Raw genomic sequence first — 26247 nt, 5'->3', positions numbered from 1 at the left:
TACAGACTGGAAAATATAGCCTCCAGCAGAGCCCAGAGACAGGCACTTTGGAGGAGAAGGGATTGGGGTAGGAGCTTTATGCTGAACAGTTGGCTAAGCATTCATATTCAACAGGTTACAGGAGGAGCTATGAATATTCACAAAGGTCCTTGTTTTAGCCTGTTCTCACATTGCTATAAAGAGCTACGTGTTGGTCAGGCATGGTGACTCACACCTATAATCCCAGCACTTTGGGAGGCCGAGGCAGGTGGATCACCTGAGGTTGGGAGTTCAAGACCAGCCTGACCAACATGGAGAAACCCTGTTTCTACTAAAAATACAGAATTAGCCGGACATGGTGAAGCACGCCTGTAATCCCAAGTACTTGGGAGGCTGAGGCAGGAGAATCACTTGAACCTGGGAGGCGGGGGTTACATTGAGCTGAGATCACGCCATTGCACTTCAGCCTGGGAAACGAGTGAAATTCCGTCTTAAAAAAAAAAAAAAGAGCTACCTGTGACTGGGTGATTTATAAAGAAAAGAGGTTTAATCTGCTCATGGTTTTGAAGGCTATACAGACTTCTGCTTCAGAGACGACTCAGGAAACTTAACAATTATGGTGGAAGGCAAAGGGGAAGCAAGCACTTCTTCACATGGCCAGCAGGAGAGAGGGTGAGCGAAGGGAAAAGTTCTACACACTTTCAAACATCCAGATCTTGTGAGAACTCACTATCATGAGAACAGCAAGGGGGGAACCCACCCCCATGATCCAATCACCTCCCACCAGGTCCCTTCCCCAACATTGGAAATTACAATTCAACATGAGATTTGGGTGGGAACACAGAGCCAAATGATATTAGTCCTGATGCATGTGTATTGACCAAACATGCATGTAACATACAACTTATGTTCGCTTTGGAGTGGAGACTTAACATTTAAATGTATTATAATTAGGCCCTATATGTCAAAAATCTTTTTAGGATATGAAGGACTCAAGTGTTCAGCATCTGTAAACAGGCCAGAGCCAGTTCCTGGTAGGTGGTCTTTTTTTTTTTCCTCCCCAAAGAAACATGGCCTTGCAGTGCAGTGGCACAATCAGGTCATTGCATCCTTGAACTCCTGGGCTCAAGTGATACAGGTGGGTGCTACCACACCCAGCCATTTTCTTTTCTTTTTTTGTTTTTAGTAGAGATGGAATCTCAACATCTTGCCCAGGCTGGGCTTGAACTCTTGGGCTCAAGTGATCCTCCTGCCTTGGCCTCCCAAAGTGCTGGGATTACAGGCATGAGCCACCACACCAGCCCAGTGGTCTTATCAGGAGAAAGTTACTGAAATCAGTCTCTCGTCCAATCAAAGCTGTAGCTATAGCTTGTGGAACGGGGTCAGTTAGTGTCTAGTGATGAGCGACAATTGTTTTAATATTCCTTATCTGGAGGCCAGTGCTTGTTTAGCTGCTAGAGAAAAAGAAAAACCTGTGGCAGTTAGAAATAGTTTATTCTTTAAGTGTAGGAGTGAGTGACTTAACCCTTGCCTAGCATGGCCTTAAACTTCCATTTATAATTTGGTATCTTATTGCCACAAAGTCTATTCTGTCAGTTTTAGGATCTCTATTTTAACATTTATGCTGGCCAGTTATTGTATCTAAAGTGCAAAAGGGAGCGGGTGTAACAAGAGTTGTCTGACCTCCCATCCCATCATGGCCAGGAACTCAGTTTTTAAGATTTTTCTGGGGTCCCCTTGGCCAAGAGGAGGTCTATTCAGTTGGCAGGGAGCTCAGGATTTTATTTTTAGTTTACATCCCCTATAGGTTTCAGAGAGGAAATGGCCCTGCCAACATCTTCATTTGAGACTTCTATCCTCCAGAAAACTGTTAGAGAATAAATTGTTTTAAATAACATCCAAGTTTGTATCCTTAGGAAAATAATACAGAAGTGTTAGGAAATCTGATGTTTATTTTGTCACAGAAGAGATAGTTAATAGATGGAGATAGTACTGAATGACTTTCAAGAATAGTCAGTCTGGGCACAGTGGCTCACGCCTGTAATCCCAGCACTTTGGGAGGCTGAGGTGGGCAGATCACAAGGTCAGGAGTTTGAGACCAATCTGGCCAATGTGGTGAAACCCCGTCTCTACTAAAAATACAAAAATTAGCCAGTTGTGGTGGCACACACCTGTAGTCCCAGTTACTAGGTATGCCGAGGCAGGAACATCGCTTGAACCAGGAGGCAGAGGTTGCAGTGAGCCGAGATCGCACCACTGCACTCCAGCCTGGGCGACAGAGCAAGACTCCATCTCAAAAAAAAAAAAAAAAAAGTTGAGAATTGACCATCTTGATTATCTTTTCTCCTTCACTTTAAGTAGTTTAAACCATGAAAAATATGCTTATCAGGACTTTCTTAACTGCTTGCCAATTTATCCTCCTAGTTGCTCCTCTAAATTGTTTAAGTGTGTGTCAGTATTTATCTCTCAAAACATATAGGCAATAGCCTAAGAATTGAGTGCTCAGAAAAACTTAGCTGATATTTCTGTGAAATCCAGGAAACCACTCAGACTTTGAAAATTTCTTTTATTTATATAGCTGTTAAGCCTTGAAAGTATAATTAATGTTGCCAGTAGAGGACCTTTATAATAATGTTTTCAAGACTAATATAATCCTTGTCAATAATCACAGTTAGATGGAGGTCATCTAAGGTAAGCCGAGTTATCTCTGACCCTAAATTCTTGTTTTTCCAACCAAACGAAGAAAAATTTCAAGGATGTGCTCAAGGGCAGCATTACGAACAGTATGATTAATAGTTAGGAAACTATTGGCTGAGCCTTACAGAGTCTTCCATAGCAAAGATGTGTTAAATTTATCTGGGGTTTGGAAGAAACAGTCTGCTCTGGAGTGAATTTGACAACTCGAGGGCATGTCCTCTCTTGGAAAATGTTTCATCAAGATTTGAAAAGAATTTGCCATCAAAACGGAAAGCCACAGGAGCAGCTGAGTAGATAGAAATTCCCTTCAACTTGAAAGGCATGAGCTTTTAACTAAGGAAAATAATCTGGAGAAATGGAACTATTTATCTCACAGTTCTTTTATATCCCAGCTGGTATGGCCATATTCAACCTAGAGAGCATGATAACCTCCCACTGGACCGTACCATCTAATAAGAGATGGTGGGATATAATGAATCCGGCCATGTGCCACACTGAAAGGCAGCAGAGTGTAGCAGGAGAGCCTTGAGCTTCACCTTAGGCTGGAAGTCAGAATCTAGCACTGCCTCCTCCAACTAGCTGAGCACATTTTATATCCTTTATTTTTTTTACTTTATTTTTTACATTTCATATCTAATGTGCCTTTTTTTTTTCTTTCTGAAAAAGAAACAGATGAGGTTTTGCCATATTTGCCAGGCTGGACTTGAACTCCCTAGCACGAGCAATCCTTCTGCCTCCACCTCCCAAAGTGCTGTGAGCCACTGTGTGTGATTTTTTTTTTTTTTTTTTTTTTTTTTGAGACAGGGTCTCACTCTGTCACCCAGGCTGGAGTGCAGTGGCAAGATCTCAGCTCACTGCAGTCTTGACCTCCTGAGCTCAATCAGTTCTCCCACCTCAGCCTCTGGAGTAGCTGGGACTGCAGGCATGTACCACCACACCCATCTATGTTGTAAACTTTTTTTTTTTTTGAGACTGAGTCTCGCTCTGTCACCCTAGTGATTAAACTAGTTAACTCTCTTTCTGAGTATCAAAAAACCAATCTGATCATTGGCTTGTACTCTTCTTATGAGAATATGTTAAATATAATTATAATTAGGTTCAGGACTATAACTTCTGAGAAACGTCTATTTACATAGCAAATGAACAAATATTGTGCCTGTTACATGCCAATAGAACTTTAAGCTAGAAGTATTATGTTCATGTCCTTTTTGTTTTTTAATTCATGACCACCAGTAAATCCCTGGACATTCCCACCCACCACCTGGTGGTGGCATTTGCTAAAGGGAATAATTGCCACCTCCCTCAGAGGGTTGCAGTGAAAATTAAAAGAGATAATAGATGTGAAAGTGCTTTATAATCTTTCAAGTGCCAAACACACATAAGGGATTATTATAGTAGGAAATGGTGTCTTCCAAAGAGTAATCATTTAGACAATGTTATAAACGTAATAAATTATTGGTTTCCATATTCAAACCATGACAAGTTCTTGTAGCCACGATGAGACGGAAAACTAATAATTTAGTATTTTTAGTTGATGTGTTTTTTTGTTTTGTTTGTTTTGTTTTGTTTTTGGGGTTTTTGTTTTGTTTTGTTTTGCTTTTGAGACAGGGTCTTGCTCTGTCACCCAGGCTTGAATGTAGTGGCATGATCTCGGCTCACTGCGACCTCCGCCTCCCGGGTTCAAGCGATTCTCCTGCCTTAGCGTCCCGAGTAGCTGGGATTACAGGCCCGCGCCACCACTCCCGGCTAATTTTTTGTATTTTTAGTAGAAACGGGGTTTCACCATGTTGCCCAGGCTGCTCTCCAACTCCTGACCTCAAGTGATCCGCCTGCCTCGGCCTCCCAAAGTGCTGGGATTATAAACGTGAGCCACTGTGCCCGGCCGCTGATGTGGAAATATTAATTTCACATCCCATAGAGGAATATACAGTGTTTTTGATATTTTAAAGTCGTTTTAACAGTGAGCTGTCTAGAAATTCAACCATTGTCTGCAGATTTTCTTACGATTCTGAGCATCACCCAGTGCGCTAATGGAAGGCTGAGGCTACCCCTTCGCTCTTCTCATTTTTAAGAAACTTCCAGCTATCCTTCCCTCTCCTAGGAAAGCTAACGGAATGCAGGAGATAAAATGGTTTCAGATTACATCCAGCGTGATAAACTGTGTCCTTGTCTTAATCTCGTCCAATTCCCAAAACATTTCCAGCTTGCTGTGAGGAGTTACATTCAGTGGTACAGAATGAGCCAGGCAGGCGACGGCGACTTGTAGGTTCCCCATCCCTTTTCTGAGATGCCGCGGTCAGCTCTAGAGACCTCAGGGATAGCAACAGAGCTGGAGATGGGTTAGGGGAGGATGGTGAGGACTACAAAGGTCTCCCCACCTCCCGGGGGCCGCGGAGGCGGGGCTGGATGAAGGTCGACGTGCCTCCTCCGGGCGGGGCGCTGCCAGGCTCTCAGCCTCTCTGTGGAAGGGCAGCCTGCGCCTGGGTACCGAGGCTGCTGCGCGGCGGACAGCGGGCGCGATGTATCTCCGCAGGGCGGTCTCCAAGACTCTGGCGCTGCCGCTGAGGGCGCCCCCCAACCCCGCGCCGCTCGGAAAGGACGGTGAGTAAGGAGGTCTAGCCCGGAGAGGAGGACGGGCGCCTCGGGTGCAGATTTCGCCCGCGCCAGGGAACCGGCCGGCACCCAGTTGGCCAAACCCGACCCAGAGCAGCAGAAGCCTGGATTGGAGGTCGAGGAGACTGGGGGAGACTCCCGGGAAGACGTCCCGAAGCTCCTGCAGACTTTGGAAGTAGGGAACTTTTCCAGGGTGCCTCAGAGTCCAGATTATCTGGGTTCGCATCCTGATCTTGGACAAATGGCTTAACCTGTTTCCTCATCTATAAAATGAGGGCGATGATGGTTTTCCTTTTTAATGAGTTAATGTATGGTTAAAAGCACTTAAAAACGTGCCTGGCTGACAAAGTCGCAGCTTACCACTTTTATTGTTAGAGGCACCATTCGCTCTCCAATCTCCTGAGGAAGCAGAGGAACGGTGGGAAGGTGGACGCCGATCAGCGAGCGGGCCCGGCAAGCGCTGGGAGGCAGTGAGGCAGGGCCCGCTCAGTGGACGCTGGGCGAATGTTCGTGGGGTAAATAAACCTAACCCTTGGCAGGGTCTCAGCAGCCTGAACCCCGCGAGCGCCTGGCTCTGAGATCCACAACCCCCAAAAAGGAAGCGGCCTTCGGGACACTTTCCTTTGAGGTTGCACGTCGTCCTGCAACTGCTTGGCTCTGTAGTCCAAATATCGACACCTTTGGTTCTGAGGATACGCGAGAAAAAGCAGAATACTCAGCAATTAACTAAAGGGGGAGTTGCAGTGTGAACTGGAGGCTTATTAAATAAAAACGGACATATAGGAAAGCGCTTCGTATAGTGCTGGGAACATAGTAGGTGCTTAATAGGTGTGAGCAAGGAAGATTGTTTTTCTTCTGGGACCAGGCTTGCGCTCCAGGGCGGTTCTGCCCCAGCCGCTTTTCCCTAGTCCCCATCCGTCACCCCTCTCTCTTCCACTCACGACTGGGGGACGGCTCTTAGACAATATCGTGAAGGGTTCTTAATGCTCTCTTCACTTAGCCTCACTTTCTGAGCCTTCCGAGATAATTTTACCCCAGAGGGTGGATTCCAGCAGGAGAGAAAGATGTGCGCGGAGAATTCCATGGGCCGATTTTTTTTTCACGTTGATTAGGCCTCTGTTGGTGGTGGTGGGAGGGAAGGACGGAGGTCTAACTAACTCGCTTTATTTTTCTTGTAAAATGCTGGTGGAAGGAAGTTATCCCTCAAGTATCAGAAATAAGACATCTTCGTTTTCCTAGATCTTTATTGCCTTTATTTTTCTAGATCTTTATACCAAATGATATAGAGCTTTTAAATATATATATACACTGATGAAGTAGGGAGAAGCCATTTATTTTAAACTTCGGAAGATAACGGGACTGTTCTGTTGAGAACGGGGAGAAAGATTAGTCCTCTGACCGTGGCCTTTCGTTTTATCTGTCTGCGTTCCCCACCGACATCATGCGCGCGTGCACGCACACACAAACACACACACACACACGCGCACCTTTTTTTTGTAGCTGCAGAAATTCCAAATAATTTTCTTCCCAATTTGCGGCAAAATAGAAGTAGTTTAAAAATTTTAAATACGTATCTAGCAATGCTGCTTGTAAAGGTACTGGTCTTTCTCTGATTTTCATCTAACTATTTTTGCAGCACTTAAAATGTATTTAAGAACTATTATTGATTGGAAACAAATTTGTCTTCAGTCGTGGACATTACTTAACCTTTTGTTCATACTTTCTACTTTGATGAAAAATAATTTTTTTCAGTTTTATTGAAGGAAAAATTTTTAACTGTGTCTCATCACATTTTGTTCTCTCCTTTTTGCTTTTAAAAGGGTAATTTTATTTTTTTGAGACAGAGTTTCACTCTTGTTGCTCAGGCTGGAGTGCAATGGCGTGATCTCGGCTCACCACAACCTCCGCCTCCCGGATCCAAGTGATTCTCCTGCCTCAGCCTCCGGAGTAGCTGGGATTACAGGCACGGGCCACCACACCCAGCTAATTTTGCATTTTTAGTAGAGATGGGGTTTCTCCATGTTGGTCAGGCTGGTCTTGAACTCCCAACCTAAGGTGATCCACCTACCTCGGCCTCCCAAAGTGCTGGGATTACAGGTGTGAGCCACCGAGCCCAGCCTTAAAAGGGTAACTTTTTAATGAATAAATAATTTAGATTTATAATAGATAATTGGGGAAAAACAGGTAAAATAAAAAATGGAATTCACCTGTAATCCTACCACTCAGTGAACACAACTAATTACGTTTTAGTATATTTAGTTTTCCAGACCTTTTTTTTCCCCTCATTCCTTCCTTGTGCACATTATTTCCACAAATCTTGGATAGTCCCAGAGTATTTTGCTATGACTTTTCACCTAATACATTGTAAATATTTTCTCATGTAAGTAAATATTGTTCTGCAAAAGTTATGTCTATTTGTTTCACATTGTATGAATGTGCTAAAATTTGTCTAATTAATCCTTATTGAAAAATTTCTCATTTCATTGTCTTTTTAAGTAACTTGTCCATCATTGTATTTGTATTTAAGTCTACTTAAATCTCTGGTAATTTTAGTTCTATTTAAAAAATATTTCTGATATTTTTGTCTGTTTGAGAAATATGAAGGCTATATATTCCCTATTTGATCACAGATGTACTTTTAAGCCATCAGAAGTCCCACCACAAGTCAAAGCGATAACCTCTTCTCATAGCCTTTGGGGCACATTAGAAGGAAAAAAATTTTTTTCCAAGAAACGGCCATTTATATCCAAACTAAGAACATAAACAGGAAATCGTTGTGATTTTGCTACTATGAAGGTTTGTAAGCATGCCTTAAGATTCGCCCTGTGCAAATCATAGCTTTCCACTAGTCCCTGCACCCCTATACTTTATGTTAGGCCACATCAAATTGCAGGTTGGACATGCTTAATCCAAAAATCTAAAACACAAAATGTTCCAAAATTAGAAACTTTCTGAGCACTGACATGATGCCACAAGTAGAAAATTTCACATGTAAGTACTTAACACAAACTTTGTTTCAAGCACAAAATTATTCAAAATATTGTATGAAATTACCTTCAGGCTATGTGTGTAAGGTGTATACGAAACATAAATGAATTTTTTGTTTAGACTTCAGTCCCATCCCCAAGATATCTCATTATGTGTATGCATATATTCCAAAATAAAGAATATCCAAAACCCAAAACACTTCTGGTCCCAAGCATTTTATTTTATTTTAATTATTTTTTTGGAACAGAACCTTTCTCTGTTGCCCAGGCTGGAGAGCAGTGGTACAATCACAGCTCACTGCAGGACTCAAGTGATCCTCCTGCCTCAGCCTCCCAAAGTAGCTGGGACTACAGGCACATACCACCACTCTCAGCTAATATTATAAAATTTTTTTGTAGAGATGGGGTTCACCACATTGCCCAGGCTGGTCTTGAAATCCTGGGCTCAAGTGATCCTCCCACCTCTGCCTCCCAAAATGTTGGGATTACAGGCATAAGCTACTGCACCCACTGCTAGCATTTTAGATAAGGGATATTCATCCTGTACTTTGTACCTTCTGGGTCACGAATCTCTCATGCTTTTATACGTTACACCTTCTGCCTCCAGTGCCATTCCTCTTTCCCTTATTTTCCTTCAAAACTCAGGTCTCTTCTATTATGACAACTACCTTGGCCAGCTAGTTGAGTTTTACTCTGCCTGTAGCTTGGCTTAACACTTATTACATTTGTCATACTGTATCACAATTATTTGTATGTTCATACCCTCCTTCTAGACTGTGAATGGCTTGAGACTAGGGACCTTATCTGTCTTGTTCACGGTTATATTCTTAATGCTTCTAACAATTCCAAATACGTAGTAGATGCTCAGCTGTGTTAGTTGAAAGAATACATAAATGTGTTTATGTCTTTATTTTTAAAATAAAGAATTTGAGTTGTATATACTTTAAGCTCCTTCCGACTTTAAGTTTATTGTAAAAATTTCAATTCCAGGGCATTATAGGATATGCAAATGTTAGTACTACAAAATAAATGTTTAAATATAATAATATAGTACCTTTATCTGTTTCTATTAGTTTATACAGAATTGTACTTCTATTTCAGATACAACCTTTCTGCAACATTTGGCTTAAAAACGTTTTATCTGCCCATATTTGCTTTATAAGAGAAAAATTGAGATTTCTTTCTATACCTACATGTGTATTATAGATTTATAGAAATATGATGGATTTCAACATAAATGCTTGATTTAACATATAAATACAAATTGTATTACATTTTAGGTATAAACATACTGAATTCATTTTTTAAAAAATAATATTTTCACTGAATCCTGTAGTGGAGTACATATAGTACATGGCTTTCTCTTGCTAATGTGCACTTCATTTGGCTGTTAAAATTTTTTAGTGCTTTTGTCATTTCTCCTTACCCACACCTGCACCCCTTCCAAGAAGGCATGATGCTCAGCATCAAGATGACAGGTTTCATGAGTGTTTATCAAATTAGATTGGGAGACTGTCAAGTGGAATTATTACCCAGCCTCGTAATACTGTATTCCCTTAAGCTAAAATCACTTGATGTTAATAGATTCTAGGTTCACTGAGTAGAAAAATTTTGAAAGATGTAATTATTTAAAATAGTTTTGCTCAACTAGTGAAGCTAACTGTGTTTAAACATTTTTTTCCTAGCATCTCTGCGCCGGATGTCATCTAACAGATTCCCTGGATCATCTGGATCAAATATGATTTATTATCTGGTTGTAGGCGTCACAGTCAGTGCTGGTGGATATTATGTAAGTGATTATATAACCACAGTGCTCAAGAATTCATGTATTTTACAACTCATGGTAAAGCTCAAAGCAACGTCAAGATCAGGACATGAGATTAATTAAATATACAACATAGCAATAGATTTAAGTGTCATTAAGCATACACATCTGAAAAATAGGTGGCAATCATTAGAAATACAGGGTTTTCATAAGAATATATTAGCTAGACTATTATGAAGGTTTTTCTTTTTTAGTTTATTTTTAAGTTTTATTTCATTCGAACCTCAGCTTTCTAAATTATGAAGATTTTTGTATTTGTAAAGTCAGCATTTCTTAATACCATTAATATGGATGATTTTCAGTAAAAATAATTTTATTATAAATGCTAATAGTGATAGCTGATACTTGAGTGTTTATCATATGCCAGACTCCTGGATCATTTAATAATTACAACAAGTCTACAAGGTAGGCACTATTATTAACATTTTAAAAGAATTATTTTGAAAGATTAACTTAAAAATTAATATAGGAGCTGGGTGCAGTGGCTCACGCCTGTAATCCCAGCACTTTGGGAGGCTGAGGCAGGTGGATCACCTAAGGTCAGGAGTTCGAGGCCTGCCTGGCCAACATGAGGAAACCCCATCTCTACTAAAAATGCAGAAATTAGCCAGCATGGTGGTGTGTGCCTGTAATCCCAGCTACTTGGGAGGCTGAAGCAAGAGAATCTCTTGAACCTAGGAGGCTGAGGTTGCAGTGAGCCAAGATCACATCATGGCACTCCAGTGTGGGCAACAGAGTGAGACTCTGTTTCCAAAAAAAATTTAAAAAAATTAATATAACTATTAAAAAAATTAATAGATCTTTTTTTAGAGCAGTTTTAGGTTTACAAAATAATGAGCAGAAAGTACAGAAACTTCCATATAACCCCTCACACCCCCTCCTCCTTTCCCCTATTAAAATCTTGCACTGATGTGGAACATTTGTTAAAACTGACAAGCCAATATTGATATATTATTATTAACTAAAGTCCAGGGTTTACATTAGGATCCACTCTTTGCGTTGTATGTTCTGTTTTTACAAATATATTACAATATCATCCAGAATAAATTATAGTATCATACAGAGTCGTTTCATCACCCTAAAAATCCCTCTACTCCACCTACTCATTTCTCCCTCTCTCCTCCCAATCTTTTTACTGTCTCCATAATTTTTGTTAGTTTTAAATTTTCACACAGTTTTATTATTTGAAAAATTCATATTTGTTCATAAGTTTCTAAAAAATGCAACATAGACATATATAAAGTGAAAAGCATATTTTCCTTCCCAGTCCCCATGTCCATTCCCTCCAGGTAAACCCTGTAAGACAAAGGTTTTAATAGTGAGATTTTGGGACTAAAATGACAGACATTTTTTAGTTAAGTAAGTTAAGACTTGAGTCATTCACCATTTTGTCATAAACTTTCTAAATCAAAATATAATCTTTATTAAGAATAAAAGTAGGCCAGTCATGGTGGCTCACGCCTGTAATCTCAGCACTTTGGGAGGTCAAGGTGGGCAGATCACCTGAGGTCAGGAGTTCAAGACCAGCCTGGCCAACATGGTGAAGCCTCATCTGTGCTAAAATACAAAAATGAGCCAGGCATGGTGGCAGGTGCCTGTAATCATAGCTACTCAGGAGGCTGAGGCAGGAGAATCACTTGAACCCAGGAGGTGGAGGTCGCAGTGAGCTGAGATTGTGCCACTGCACTCCAGGCTGGGTGAGAGAGCCAGACTCTGTCTCAAAAAAAAAAAAAAAAAAAAAAGAATAAAAGTAATGCGGTGGCTCATGCCTGTAATCCCAGCACTTTGGGAGGCTTGAGTCCGGGAGTTTGAGACCAGTCTGGGGAACACAGTGAGACCTCATTTCTACAATAAAAAATAAAAAAATTAGCCCAGCGTGGTGGTGTGTGCCTGTGGTCCTAGGTACTTGGGAGGCTTTGATGGGAGGATCGCTTGAGCCTGGGAAGTTAAGGCTGCAGTGAGCTGAGATTGCACCACTGCACTCAAGCCTGGTCAACAGAACAAGACCCTGTCTCAAAAAAAATAATAATAAATAAAAAAGAATAAAAGTAGAGCCTGTAGTGGTGGCTTACGCCTATAATCCCAGCACGTTGGAGGCCAAGGCAGGAGAATTGCTTGCAGGAGTTTGAGACCTGCCTGGCCAACATAGCGGGACCCCATCTCTACAAAAAATGTAAAGAATAAAAGTAGAATAAGCAGAAATTCTTTGTAAACTCTAAGAGTACACAGTCACTATATTTTGGTTTGGACCTACGGAAATATGAATAAAGCCGGGCCGGTGGCTCACACCTGTAAACCCAGTACTTTGGGAGGCCAAGGTGGGTGGATCACGAGTTCAGGAGTTCAAGACCAGCCTGGTCAAGAAATGGTGAAACCCCATTTCTACTAAAAATACAAAAATTAGCCGGGCGTGGTGGCGGGCACCTGTAATCCCAGCTACTCTGGAGGCTGAGGCAGAGAATTGCTTGAACCGGGGAGGCGGAGGTTGCAGTGAGCCAAGATTGCACCACTGCACTCAGCCTGGGTGACAGAGTGAGACTCCGTCTCAAAAAAAAAAAAAAAAAAAGAAATATGAATAAAGAGATGTTTAGTCATAACTAGAAGCAGTTTCATAGGACTATGTAAGATGGCCAAACCAAACCAAACCAAAATACATATTCTAATCCTCAGAATTTTTTTTTTTTTTTTTTTGGGAGGGGACAGAGTCTCGCTCTCGTCCAGGCTGGAGTGCAGTGATGCAATCTCGGCTCACTGCAAGCTCCACCTCCCGGGTTCACGCCATTCTCCTGCCTCAGCCTCCTGAGTAGCTGGGACTACAGGTGCCCACTACCACGCCCAGCTAATTTTTTTTTGTATTTTTAGTAGAGACGGGGTTTCACTGTGTTAGCCAGTATGGTCTTGATCTCCTGACCTCGTGATCTTCCTGCCTCGGCCTCCCAAAGTGCTGGGATTACAGGCATAAGCCACCAAGCCCGGCCTAGAAATTTTTTTAAGGCTAGTCATAATCTTCAGAATTTTGAGAGCCTCAAGGAGTCAGGAAACTGCAAACTTGTCACTTATATTGTTGTCCTCTACTAATCTGCCAGCTTTCACTTGTGCCCAGATTCCTTTGTTCTGTCATCTTTCTACTGTTTAATGTTGAATTCATGGCTCAAACCCACTCTAGTTGAGGTGTAGGCCACCAAAAAAAAAAAACAGAGATTGAGACTAGGCCATGTGATAGGCTGGGAAGCTAGAAGGATGAATTTCATTTGGACATCACTATACCCCTGATTATATTAATATGTACCAGTGCCAAAAACAAACTTTGCCAGACTGCTAACTCACTGGTTGCAAAAGGAATCTTAAACTAAAAGGTTATACATTTATAAACCAGCCATCCCTGAGAACCCTTTCTGGCCTTGTTCTCTCACAGTAGGGATGGAAGTTGTTCCCTTCCATTTCTAAGTTTATGTGATTTTAATCTCAAATGTTGGAAGCCTTAATTGCCAGGAATCTTAGGCTACTTTCAGGAGGAAATGCTGAATGTAAGGCACTCCAAAACCTGTATACTTGTTCTCCCCTTCCATTTCATGTCCTGTACTAAAATAATCTCTATATTAGATTTTTATGAATTGACCCCACAGATGCTTAGTAGCCAAAAGCAGTTTTCCATTTGCAATCAAAATCCTCGACTATTAGGGGTCATTGGAATCTGAAAGAGGCCCAGATCACTCCAGTTTTTTTGAGGGTCTGGGTATCTCTTGTCCCCCAGGCTGGAGTGCGATGGCGCAATCTCATCTCACTGCAACCTCCGCCTCCCGGGTTCAAGCGATTCTCCTGCCTCGGCCCCCTGAGCAGCTGGGATTACAGGCGCCTGCCACCACGCCTGGCTAATTTTTGTATTTTTAGTAGAGATGAGGTTTCACCATGTTGGCCAGGCTGGTCTCGAACTCCTGACCTCAGGTGATCCACCCGCCTCGGCCTCCCAAAGTGCTGAGATTACAGATGTGAGCCACCATGCCCGGCCTGGTCTGGTATATCTTAAAAAGTAGTACCAGACTGGCTTATAAAAATTGTAGTATATTTTAAATGCTTATACTTAATAAATACTTAATATCATTTGTAAATAACTGCCAAAGTCTAAATTTGAGACCCTCTCTTTTAATAGGCCTTTATTCTACTCTGTGCTCGACTGTGCTGGATTTGGAAAACCTAGATTCTTTGGGCCACACATTAGGGTGAATTATTCTAGTATTGTATCTCTTCAATTCTCCCTAAAGTTAGTCTTTTTTCTTGCCTTGTGTTTTAGCCCCTTGAGCAATGAGACTAATGTCCCTTGGAATGTTGTTCCTGGAATGATCCTTTCAGGGATGTGAACTTGTGTACTGGTTCGGTTTGTGTACTGAGAACTGGGGATACTGACTTATCATATTGGTCCTACAAGGTGTCAGGAACACACACCCTACTCGGAAAATATTCCTTGCTTTTATACAGAAAATGTTGATTATCATTCCCGTTGATCATATTTGCTCTGTATGTTTCAAAGCCAAATGATTCAAGTCTGAGTTCACTAAACCCCGGGAAGTTTGCTATAAAAGGGTCACTTTACATCACTTCTACCCGACATTATAGATTTTCTTTTCTTTTTTTTTTTTTTTTTTTCAGACGCGGTCTCGCTCTGTCGCCCAGGCTGGAGTGCAGTGGTACGATCTCTGCTCACTGCAAGCTCCACCTCCTGGGTTCACGCCATTCTCCTGCCTCAGCCTCCCGAGTAGTTGGGACTACAGGCGCCCGCCACCACTCCTGGCTAATTTTTTGTACTTTTTGTAGAGATGGGGTTTCACCATGTTAGCCAGGATGGTCTCCATCTCCTGACCTCATGATCCGCCTGCCTCGGCCTCCCAAAGTGCTGCGATTACAGGCTTGACCCAGATTTTCTTTTCTTTTCTTTCTTTCTTTTTTTTTTTTTTTTGAGACGGAGTTTCCCTCCTTTCCCAGGCTGGAATGCAATGGTGCGATCTCGGCTCACTGCAACCTCTGCCTACAGGGTTCAAGTGATTCTCCTGCCTCAGCCTCCCGAGTAGCTGGGATTACAGGCATGCGCCACCACGCCCGGCTAATTTTGTATTTTTAGTAGAGACCAGATTTCTCATGTTGGTCAGGCTGGTCTCAAACTCCCGACCTCAGGTGATCCGCTGGCCTCAGCCTCCCAAAGTGCTGGGATTACAGGTGTGGACCATTGCACCCGGCCCCGACATTACAGACATTCTATTTTCACAGCATAATTTTTACACTGTAAAATTGTTTGTAATTAAGTAGTACAATTTTTAAATAAGGTACTTGGTTTCTGATGGTTAAAAATTTAGAAGACACTATATATAAATAAATTTTAGAAATCTATCATCTTACCATTAAAAGTTAAACCACTACCAACATTTTCTTAAAAGCTAAATTAATACAAACAATAGTAACTGAATAATGAGATTTTCATTTTTTATATCATTTTCTAATATGAATACAGGCCAAAGAAGACTACTTAAATATAAAATGAAAGGAAGCCTGCACATTTTGTCTGTGATTAAAATAGCTTTCTTCCCAATACTGTTTCTTTCTTTCTTTTTTCTTTTTTTTTTTTTTTTTGAGATGGAGTCTTGCTCTGTCGCCCAGGGTGGAGTGCAATGGCATGATCTCGGCTCACTGCAACCTCCACCTCCTGGGTTCAAGCAATTCTCCCACCTCAGCCTTCTGAGTAGCTAGGGCTACAGGCGAGCACCACCACCATGCCTGGCTGTTTTTGTATTTTTAGTAGAGATGGGGTTTCACCATGTTGGCCAGACTGGTCTCGAACTCCTGACTTCAGGTGATCCACCCACCTCAGCCTCCCAAAGTGCTGGGATTACAGGCATGAGCCACCGCACCCGGCCTGATTCCAGTTTTTGACTATTACAAATAAAGGTACCATGAACATTTGTGTACAGGTTTTCATGTGAACCTAGATTTCCATTTCTCAAGGATAAATGCTAGAAAATATTTGTATATGCCTGTCAGGATATTCTGGTTGTAGCATAATTCATTTTTTTCTTCCTTGTTTTTAGTTATCTTTGGCTAAGATAGTGCATCTATTTCCTTCCCTTTTTAAAAAGTTTTATTTTAGGTTAAGGTGTACATGTGCAGGTTTGTTAATAGGTAAATTATGTGTCATGGGGGTTTGATGTATAGATTGATTTGTCACCCAGGTAATAAGTATGGTACCCAATAGGTAGTTTTTCTCTCCTCATCCCCTGTCTCACCTTTCTTCCTTTTTAAAGCATTCTATTTAATAACAAAGATTTCCAAAAGGGAAGTAAAAGAGTAAGTGGTGTGCACTGATTTCTCTTCTTTGCTACACTGGGATTATGGTTTAAACTTCTAATGGTGATTACAGGGAGACTTGAGTGTACCTTTGGATGTGGCGTGACAAATCTTAAAGCTCAAGAAATAAACCTAAGCATACATTTACTTTCAGGCTTACAAGACAGTCACATCAGACCAAGCCAAACACACAGAACATAAAACAAATTTGAAAGAAAAAACAAAAGCAGAGATACATCCATTTCAAGGTAAATGAATTTCTTAATTTTTTATTTTTATTTATTTTTTGAGGCACTAATTTCCATCCACTTAGTCTAGCAATGAACACTATTTGCTTTTGGCTTCTTTCCTAGCTTAATCCAGAATGACTCTAGGTATAAGTTCATTTAGAAAGGAAAAGTTCAACTGAAACCTGAAGAACACTGTTACACCTTTTGGATGAATGCATTTGACAAATGAATGTTTTACATTTATATTGCTGACCAGTGACTTTTGACTCCTTTGTGTGGTAATATTATTTTCCCCTGCTCAGGCATCCACCCATGCAGGCATGAGCTTTCATTTTTCTCATTATCTAAAAATAATAATATAACAAATTATCTTTCAGTTTTGGCTAAGACCACCTGTGTGCCTTTGTGCAAACAAGGTACATTTGACATAATAGAATCAGTTGTGTATAATGAGTCCTTCAGTTGATAAAATGGTGACCATGGGAACAGAAACTTTATATTTTCACTCTTTCCTTCCTTCCTACACTTCTTTTTCCCACCCTCCCTTCCTTCCCCCTTCCTTTCCCCCTTCCCTCCACGGGCTCTCCCTCTGTCAACCAGGCTGGAGTGCAGTGGTGCAATCATAGCCTACTGCAGCCTTGAACTCCTGGGCTCCAGCAATCTTCCCATCACAGCCTCTCAAGCAACTAGGACTACAAGCATGCACCGCTACACCCAGCAAATTTATTTTTTATGTTTTGCAGAGACAGGGTCTCACTATGTTGCCCAGGCTGGTCTTGATCTCCTGGCCTCATGTGATCCCTCCTGCCTCAGCCTCCCAAAGTGCTGGGATTACAGGCATATGCCACTATGCCTAGCCACTTCTTGCTTTAAACCATACTTTTTTCCAAGCTATTATTATCAATTACTATGATCACTATTTAGGGATAGAGATATTAGGGGCTTATGAATCAGTTTTAACCTGTCATGACAATAATAAGAAACAGAATATCATCAATACATATTATTGAATATAATCATGCGGTTGTTTATAATACTAATAAGCATTTGCATAGAACTTTTTATTTTAATCCCCTTTTCATATACAGTATTTTAATTAATCTTTACAATAACCCTGTGCAGTAGATATTATCAATACCCTATTTTACAGATGACAAAAATGAGATTGAGAGAGGATTAGTGATTTCTGAGTCACCAGCTAGGAACTTGGCTACTCTTCCATGCTGTCTCATATGAAAGGTGAATAGGATAGCTACTTATTTTTGTATTCTTCATATTTGCCTAAGTAATATATTCAAGTGTGTTTTTTTTTAAGTTCAAAGAGTTTACAGAAAAGCAGATCCCCCATTTTCCCTCCAAGAGGCAACCAATAGAACCAGTTTCTTGGAATCCTCCTGGAGAGTTTTTGCAAATACAATTATCTAGGCATACAACTTACCCCCCTCCTGCTCCAACCTCATTTTGCCCTAACAATAGTAGCAGACTGTATACATTGTTCTTTTTTTGCTGTTTCACTTGAGAGTCTACCTTGAAGACTGTTACACATCAGTGCATGTAGTTCTGTCTTAGGTGTTTAAACGACCGCAGTGTTTCATTGCCTTCCCACGATCTTTAAATTAATACCTTGCTTAATGACTAATTCTTAAAGGTGAAAAGGAGAATGTTGCGGAAACTGAGAAAGCAAGTTCAGAAGCCCCAGAAGAACTTATAGTGGAAGCTGAGGTGGTAGATGCTGAAGAAAGTCCCAGTGCTACAGTTGTGGTCATAAAAGAGGCATCTGCCTGTCCAGGTCACGTGGAGGCTGCTCCGGAGACCACAGCAGTCAGTGCTGAAACCGGGCCAGAGGTCACAGATGCAGCGGCGAGGGAAACCACGGAAGTAAACCCTGAAACAACCCCAGAGGTTACAAATGCTGCCCTGGATGAAGCTGTCACCATCGATAATGATAAAGATACAACAAAGAACGAAACCTCTGATGAATATGCTGAACTAGAAGAAGAAAATTCTCCAGCTGAGTCAGAGTCCTCTGCTGGAGATGATTTACAGGAGGAAGCCAGTGTTGGCTCTGAGGCTGCTTCGGCTCAAGGCTAATCTCCAGCCGGTAGACATTTCAGCAACAAATGCCATAGGGTGTCTGATAAGTGCTTTTGTGTTTTTAGTACACTTAGTTTAAAAAAAAAAAGACTTATTTTCTAGAAAACGTTAATGGGTCTTGAAGATTTTTGGCATCCACTGATAGATTTTAGGACTGAGAGACTTGAGATTGTACATTTCTTACTACTCTTCTACTGTCTGAGATCAGAATATGACATTGCAGTAAAGAGCTTAAATAGTTTCATCTTTGGTTTTTTTTTCTAGACACTTTTCTTTTATCCCAGTCATCTCTGAATTTACATTTTATATTAAAGAAATTGAGCTATCCATACAACCTGTATTTACTTTAATTTCACTATGCTTTCAGCTTACTTTATTGTATGATATGTAGGTCTAAAATATAGTTTGAGTCAAATAAAATTAGAAAAGCTTTGGTGCTTCTACTTTTTTCACTAATATTTGCATGTACAAATAATACATATTAACATACAGGTACATAACATCACATGAGAAATGTAGGCTTTCGTAATATTATTGAAGAAAGAGCATATAATCTATGGAGAACCCTGCATGTAACAATATGTATGCCCTCTCCCATCTATAGTACTTACACAGGGGACTATGTAGATATTTTCTGTTTCAGTTCAGTTCAAACAATATTTATTGAAGATTAGCACTTTGTGCCAGGAATCTTTCATTCATTCACGTGTTCAACAAATATTAGCTGAGCACTTACAACATAATAGGTATTGTTTTAAGTGCTCCCGGTTTATATTCTAGAGTGGAACCAGGTAAGAAGACAAATGAGAAAATGATATAGTGTGTTAGGTACTGATAAGTGCTAAGGATAAAAGTAACGAAAATAAAAGGATTGTAAGTGTTAGTCTGAGGTGGAAGTTGTAATTTTAGATAGGATGGCCAAAAGAGGCCTTACTAGGAAGGTGTCTTTTGCGTAGAAACCTGAAAGATATATAAGGGACCATCTAATGGTAGGAGTTAGGGGAATCAGCCAGGTAAGGGAACAGAAAAGGGCAAAGGATCTAAAACAGGATCCTGCTGGGAATTTGAGGAATTGCGAGGTGGCCAGTGTGGCTAAAGTGGAGTGAAAAAGAGGGAGAGTAGCCAGAGATGGTCTCAGAGAGAAAGGGAGTGGGTAGGCAGGGTGGGCTAGATCATGCAGGGTCATGTAAGGTTTTGGCTATGGAGTAAGTTGGGAAATTGTAGTGGACACTGCCGATGCTCTGCCTAGATCCCCTTAATTGGACCCCTTAACTGGGTACATTTATCCCCAGCTGCTATGAGTGTTACACCCCACACCCCACCCTCACCATAGGCAGTTCACAACCAATGACTGACTGCCATAGTATTACAAAAGATGGCACCAACTCTGCAGTACAATTGAATAGTTCATGCTCCAGCCCACCCCAAGGAGCAGATTGAAGCTGGTCTCCAGCCGAGATGACTTCCCTGCTTAGCTCTTCCCCCTGCCCTTTTCTGCTTTCCTCCCTCCATTCTCCGGGGAATACTCTTCTCATAAAAGACTGGCCAAAGAATCCCTGTTTCTAAGGAATATCACTTTAGATCATTGGTACTGCATGTGATCCTACGAAGCAGGCTCTAAGAATAGGATTCTGGAGTTGTTATCATTCTTCAGCTAGAGGGCAATGAGACCTTGCCCACACATACAAATGCATTTTCCTCCATTTTCTACTAAAAATAACAGAAACATACTCAAAAGGGATTAAATGACAAAGATCATTATTACATAACTAGATAGATTGTTATTATATAACTAGATATCCAGGGTTGGCTTATTTCGTGGCTCAGTCATCAAGACCTTGGTTGTATCTGTTGTCCTGCTCTACCAAGAATGTTTTGGGCAAGGCACAGTGGCTCACACCTGTATTCCCGGCACTTTGAGAGGCCAAGGCAGGAGGATCACTTGAACCCAAGAGTTTGAGACCAGCCTGGGCAGCCTGGTCTCTACAAAAAAATTAAAAAATTAGCCAAGTGTGGTGACAACTGCCTGTGGTCCCAGCTACATGGGAAGCTGAGGCAGGAGGATCACTTGAGCCCAGGAAGTCGAGGCTGCAGTGAGTCATGTTCATGCCACTGCACTCCAGCCTAGGCGACAGAGCAAGACCCTGTGTCAATAAAAATAGAATGTTTTGGCTTTATCCTTCTCATAATCATAGGATGAATCGCCACAATTCTAGGTATTTTACAGAGTCTACTAGGAGTGTTTCAAAAAAAAAAAAAAAAAAACACAGGCCAGGCAAGGTGGCTCACGCCTGTAATCCCAGCATTTTGGGAGGCAAAGGTGGGCGGATCACCTAAGATCAGGAGATCGAGACCATCCTGGCCAACATGGTGAAACCCCGTCTCTAGTAAAATACAAAAAATTAACCAGGCGTGGTGGTGCGCACCTGTAGTCCCAGCTACCCAGGAGGCTGAGGCAGGGGAATCGCTTGAACCCAGGAGGCAGAGATTGAAGTGAGCCGAGATTGTGCCACTGCACTCCAGCCTGGCGACAGAGCGAGACTCCGTCTCAAAAAATAAAAATAAAAAAAAAATAAAAAAAGAGTTTCCTCATCTTAAAAAAACTTCATACTTTTTTATTCTAATGTTTTATTGTATAAAATTTCAAACACAAGTAGTGAGAATAGTATAATGAATCCTCATGTGCACTACACCCAGATTTACCAATTATCAACTCGTGGCAAATCTTGTATTCATATTCCTATCCATTACCTTTGACCACCACGACTGAGGGCCCACCTACAGCTAACACTAATTTGAGACATGTGAGTAAGGTTATAAAGTCAAATCTATGATACTGGATATATGTCTGTAAAATAATAATAATTGTTTACTATTGTTAATTATCTAGTCAATGATCAAATTTTCCTCAACTGCTTCATAAAGGATTTCCCTCTCCCTTCAGTTTGTTTCTTAAGTCAGAATCCAATTAAAGTCCACAAATAGGTGGCCGGGCATTGTGGCTCACGCCTGTAATCTCAATACTTTAGGAAGCCGAGGCAGGCAGATCACCTGAGGTCAGGAGTTCAAGACCAGCCTGGCCAACATGGAGAAACCCCATCTCTACAAAAATACAAAAATTAGCCAGACGTGATGGCGGGTGCCTGTAATCCCAGCTACTTGGGAGGCTGAGGCCGGAGAATTGCTTGAACCTGGGAGGCGGAAGTTGCAGTGAGCCGAAATCACGCCATTGCACTCCAGCCTGGGCAACAGAGTGAGACTCCATCTCAAAAAAAAAAAAAAGTCCACAAATGGTAAATACATCTTTAAGTCTCTTTTTCTACAGGTTGCTCCTCCATCTCTCTTCTACTTTTCTTTGCAATTTATGGTTTCAATAAAGTGACTAATTTGATCTGTAGAATTTTTCACTCTGGACTTCGCTTATTGCAACCACATGTGTTTGTCTTCTTTTAACATGTTCCTCTCCCCCATACTGCCTATAAATTGGTATTTAGATTTAGAGATTTGATCAAAATCCTATTTATTTATTTATTTTAGGGACAAGATCTTGTTCTGTTGCCCAGGCCAGAGTGCAGTGGCACTATCATAGCTCGCTGCAGCCTCCAACTCCTGGGCTCAAGCAATCCTCCAACCTCAGCCTCCCAAGTGGCTGGGACTACAAGCACATGCTAATTTTTAAAATTTTTTTATAGAGACAAGGTCTCTCTATGTTGCCCAGGCTGGTCTTGAATTCCTGGTCTCAAGTGATCCTCCCACCTCAGCCTCTCAAAGTGCTGGGATTACAGGGGTGAGCCACTGTGCCTGGCTTTGGCAGGAATTATTTGTAGTTCATGTTCATACATCCATCAGCAGGTGCATAATATTTGGTGCTTTTCTCTTCATTATGTTAGAAGCCATTGATTCATTATTTTATTAGGAGTTGTTAAATAGTGATACCCTTTCTCTATATTCTTTCCATCTGTTCCTTCCACTTTCCAATACAGAATCATTTTGGCTTATCGTTCTTTCCATTTTTTAATATAAACTAGATATATGTATTTATATATACCATATAGCATATATAGTATATATGTTATATATAGCATATATATAGCTTATACAAAGAAAAAATGGAAAGAACGATAGGCCAAAATCCTTCTTTCTTAGCTATATATATAGACAGAGAGCTTATATATATATATATAAGAATATATATATTTTAAGAATTTCTTATATATATAAGAATTTACTCACAAATTCTTCCCATCCTTTATATATATAATATATATAAACTATATATATTACATATATTATTATTTTTCTTAAATAAACAGTAATTTACTATACGCATACATTTTTCTACCTTGCTTTTTGCATTCAAGTATATGCCTGGAGATTACTCTAAATTATAGATAATAATATTTCTCATTGCTTTTCATGGTTGCATAGAACTACGTTGTGTGGGTACCATGGATTGTTTATTCAACCAGTCTCCTACTGATGAACATTTGACTTGTTTCTAGTATTTGCTATTACAAATAGTGCTGCAATGTATAGCTTCATGCATATATATTTTTGCCACTGTATCATTGGGATAGATTTCTGAAAGAGGGATTACTAGGTCAAATACATTTGTAATTTTGCTGCTATTACCAAAGTCCTTTCATAGGAGAACTACCGTTTTACATTCCCAAAACAACAATGTATGTGAATGCCTGTTTCCTGTTTTACACGCAGTAACAGCAATGTATGTGAGTGCCCTAACATTTGGGTTTTTGCTCATGTGACAAACGAAAAATACCTCAGTGCAGTTAAAATTTGCATTTCTCTTATTAAGAGGGAGGTCGGGGCCGGGCGCGGTGGCTCATGCCTGTAATCGCAGCACTTTGGGAGGCTGAGGCGGGCGGATCACGAGGTCAGGAGATCGACACCATCCTGGCTAACATGGTGAAATCCCATTTCTACTAAAAAATACAAAAAATTAGCTGGGCGTGGTGGCGGGCGCCTGTAATCCCAGTTACTGGGGAGGCTGAGGCAGGAGAATGGCGTGATCCCAGGGGGCAGAGCTTGCAGTAAGCCGAGATCGCGCCACTGCACTCCAGCCTAGGCTACAGAGCGAGACTCCGTCTCAAAAAAAAAAAAAAAAAAAAAAATAGTGAGGTAGGGCTGGACCCCGTGGCTCACTCCTGTAATCCCAGAACTCTGGGAGGCTGAGGTTGCAAATCGCTTGAGCCCAGGAGTTGGAGACCAGTCTGGGCAACATGGTGAAACCCTGTCTCTACAAAAAATACAAAACATTAGCAGGGTATGATGGTGTGCGCCTGTAGTCCCAGCTACTCAGGAGGCTGAGGTGGGAGGATTGCTTAAGCCTGGGAGGTCAAGGCTTCAGTGAGTCATGATTACACCACTGCACTCCAGCCTGAGTGACAGAGTAAGTCCTTGTCTCACACACACACACACACACACACACACACACACACAAGTGAGGTTGGATATTAAAAAAAATTGTCTTTTTTTTTTTTTTTTTAAGATGGAGTCTCGCTCTGTCACCCAGGCTGGAGTGCAGTGGCGTGATCTTGATTCACTGAAACCTCCTCCCCCCAGGTTCAAGGGATTCTCCTGCCTCAGCCTCCTGAGTAGCTGAGACTACAGGCGCCTGCCACCATACTCGGCTAATTTTTTTTTTTTTTTTTTTGAAACGGAGTCTTGCTCTCTCTCCCAGGCTGGAGTGCAGTGGCTCAATCTCGGCTCACTGCAAGCTCCGCTTCCTGGGTTCACGCCATTCCCCTGCCTCAGCCTCCCGAGTAGCTGGGACTACAGGCGCCCGCCACCACGCCCGGCTAATTTTTTTGTATTTTTAGTAGAGACGGGGTTTCACCATGTTAGCCAGGATGGTCTGGATCTCCTGACCTCGTGATCCGCCCGCCTCGGCCCCCAAAGTGCTGGGATTACAGGCGTGAGCCACCGCGCCCAGCCAGTCAGCTAATTTTTTGTATTTTTAGTAGAGACTGAGTTTCACTGTGTTACCCAGAATGGTCTCAATCTCCTGACCTTGTGATCCACCTGCCTCAGCCTCCCAAAGTGCTGGGATTACAGGTGTGAGCCACCGCGCCCGGCCAAAAAAAATTTTTTAACATACTTTTTTTTTTGTAGCTACAGGGTGTGACTATTTTCCCTAGGCTGGTCTCGAACTGCTGGCCTCAAGAGATCCTCCCGCCTCAGCCTCCCAAAGTGCTGGGATTACAGGCATGAGCTACCACACCTGGACTTTTTTTTTATGATTAGGGACCATAAAAACATTTTTTTTAATGGTAAGGACTCTATGCATTTCTTTTTCTGCAATCTGTCTGTTTACATCTCAGTGCATTTTCCTGTAGTGTGTCAGTCCTTCCTTCTTCTGTTTTTTAGAAGCTCTTTCTATGCTAGGGACATTAAACTTTAGTCTGTGATATAAATTACAAATATTCTTCCAAGTTTGTGATTTATCTTTTTATTTTACTTATGGTATGTTTGTAGTATAAGATATTTTTATTTCAGTGTAATCAAATTGATCAATCTTTTTATGTATTGTTTCTGAATTTTGAGCCATTGTTAACATAGTAGATTGAAAAAAAATAGTCACTAATTCTTCCCACCTTTTTGTATACACTCCTGTTAATTGTGACTTTAGGTCAGGCATAGTGGCTGACACCTGTAGTTACAGCACTTTGGGAGGCCAAGGCAGGAGGATCACTTGAGCCCAGGATCTTGAGACCAAGCTGAGCAATATAGCAAGACCCTGTCTCTACTTAGAATTTTTTTTTACTTAAAAAAATTTTTTTAAAATAAAAAAGAAATGTGGCTTTACATCTCTTCCCATCAAAAGATAGAGACTGTTTCTTCATTCCCTTGAATTTGGGCTGGCCTTGTACTTTGTTTTGACCAACAGAATGCTATGGAAGTGACTTTCTGAGCTCTCACCCTTTTGAAATCCTGATACTACCATGTGAAGAAGCCTGAGCTACCCTTCATGAGAAAGAGAGATCATATGGAGAGAGGTGCCCCATCTACAGCTAACACTAAACCCAGATGTGTAAGTGAGGCCATCCCAGACCATCGAGCTCCAGCCACGATGCCACATGACTGCAGTTATATGAATGACCCCAGGGGAGACCAGAAAAGAACTACCCAGCTGAACACAGACCAAATTGATGACCCGCTAAATTGTGAGCAAATAAGATGGTTGTGTTCTAAGCCATGAAGTTGGGGTAGTTTGTTAAGTAGCAATATGTAGTTAAAATACTTAGGAAATAGGGCAGGCTCAGTGGCTCATGCCTGTAATCCCAGCACTTTGGGAGGCCGAGGCAGGTGGATCACCTGAGGTCAAGAGTTTGAGACCAGCCTGGCCAACATGGTGAAACCCTGTCTTTACTAAAAATACAAAAATTAGCTGGGCGTGGTGGTGGGCACCTATAATCCCAGCTACTCAGGAGGCTGAGGCAGGAGAATCACTTGAACCTGAGAGGTGGAG

At 41.4% G+C, this 26247-nt stretch overlaps 1 protein-coding gene across 1 annotated transcript, besides 4 other annotated features; it reads left to right on the top strand.

Annotated features, from left to right (window-relative positions):
- Nucleotides 5129-19189, top strand: MGARP (mitochondria localized glutamic acid rich protein). Its single transcript, NM_032623.4, has 4 exons — nt 5129-5277; nt 9962-10065; nt 16589-16682; nt 18313-19189. Exons 1-4 carry the CDS (start codon nt 5196-5198, stop codon nt 18753-18755), a joined length of 723 nt encoding a protein of 240 aa, NP_116012.2. The 5' UTR covers nt 5129-5195; the 3' UTR covers nt 18756-19189.
- Nucleotides 5165-5374: an enhancer, noted in NCBI's record as "active region_21921". NCBI's record gives its function as "activates an Ori minimal core promoter by ATAC-STARR-seq in GM12878 lymphoblastoid cells {active_cell/tissue: GM12878}" and the evidence as "EXISTENCE:reporter gene assay evidence [ECO:0000049][PMID:35858748]".
- Nucleotides 18008-19207: an enhancer, noted in NCBI's record as "CDK7 strongly-dependent group 2 enhancer chr4:140187301-140188500 (GRCh37/hg19 assembly coordinates)". NCBI's record gives its function as "activates an origin of replication core promoter dependent on BRD2, BRD4, P300/CBP, MED14 and CDK7 cofactors, with strong dependence on CDK7, by STARR-seq in HCT116 cells {active_cell/tissue: HCT116}" and the evidence as "EXISTENCE:reporter gene assay evidence [ECO:0000049][PMID:35650434]".
- Nucleotides 18100-18199: a silencer, noted in NCBI's record as "silent region_15699". NCBI's record gives its function as "represses an Ori minimal core promoter by ATAC-STARR-seq in GM12878 lymphoblastoid cells {active_cell/tissue: GM12878}" and the evidence as "EXISTENCE:reporter gene assay evidence [ECO:0000049][PMID:35858748]".
- Nucleotides 18340-18669: an enhancer, noted in NCBI's record as "active region_21920". NCBI's record gives its function as "activates an Ori minimal core promoter by ATAC-STARR-seq in GM12878 lymphoblastoid cells {active_cell/tissue: GM12878}" and the evidence as "EXISTENCE:reporter gene assay evidence [ECO:0000049][PMID:35858748]".

Source organism: Homo sapiens, chromosome 4 (assembly GCF_000001405.40).
Source record: "Homo sapiens chromosome 4, GRCh38.p14 Primary Assembly".
NCBI classification, from domain to species: domain Eukaryota; kingdom Metazoa; phylum Chordata; class Mammalia; order Primates; family Hominidae; genus Homo; species Homo sapiens.
The sequence above is the reverse complement of the archived record's forward strand: the minus strand, read 5'-3'. Positions and strand labels throughout refer to the sequence as shown.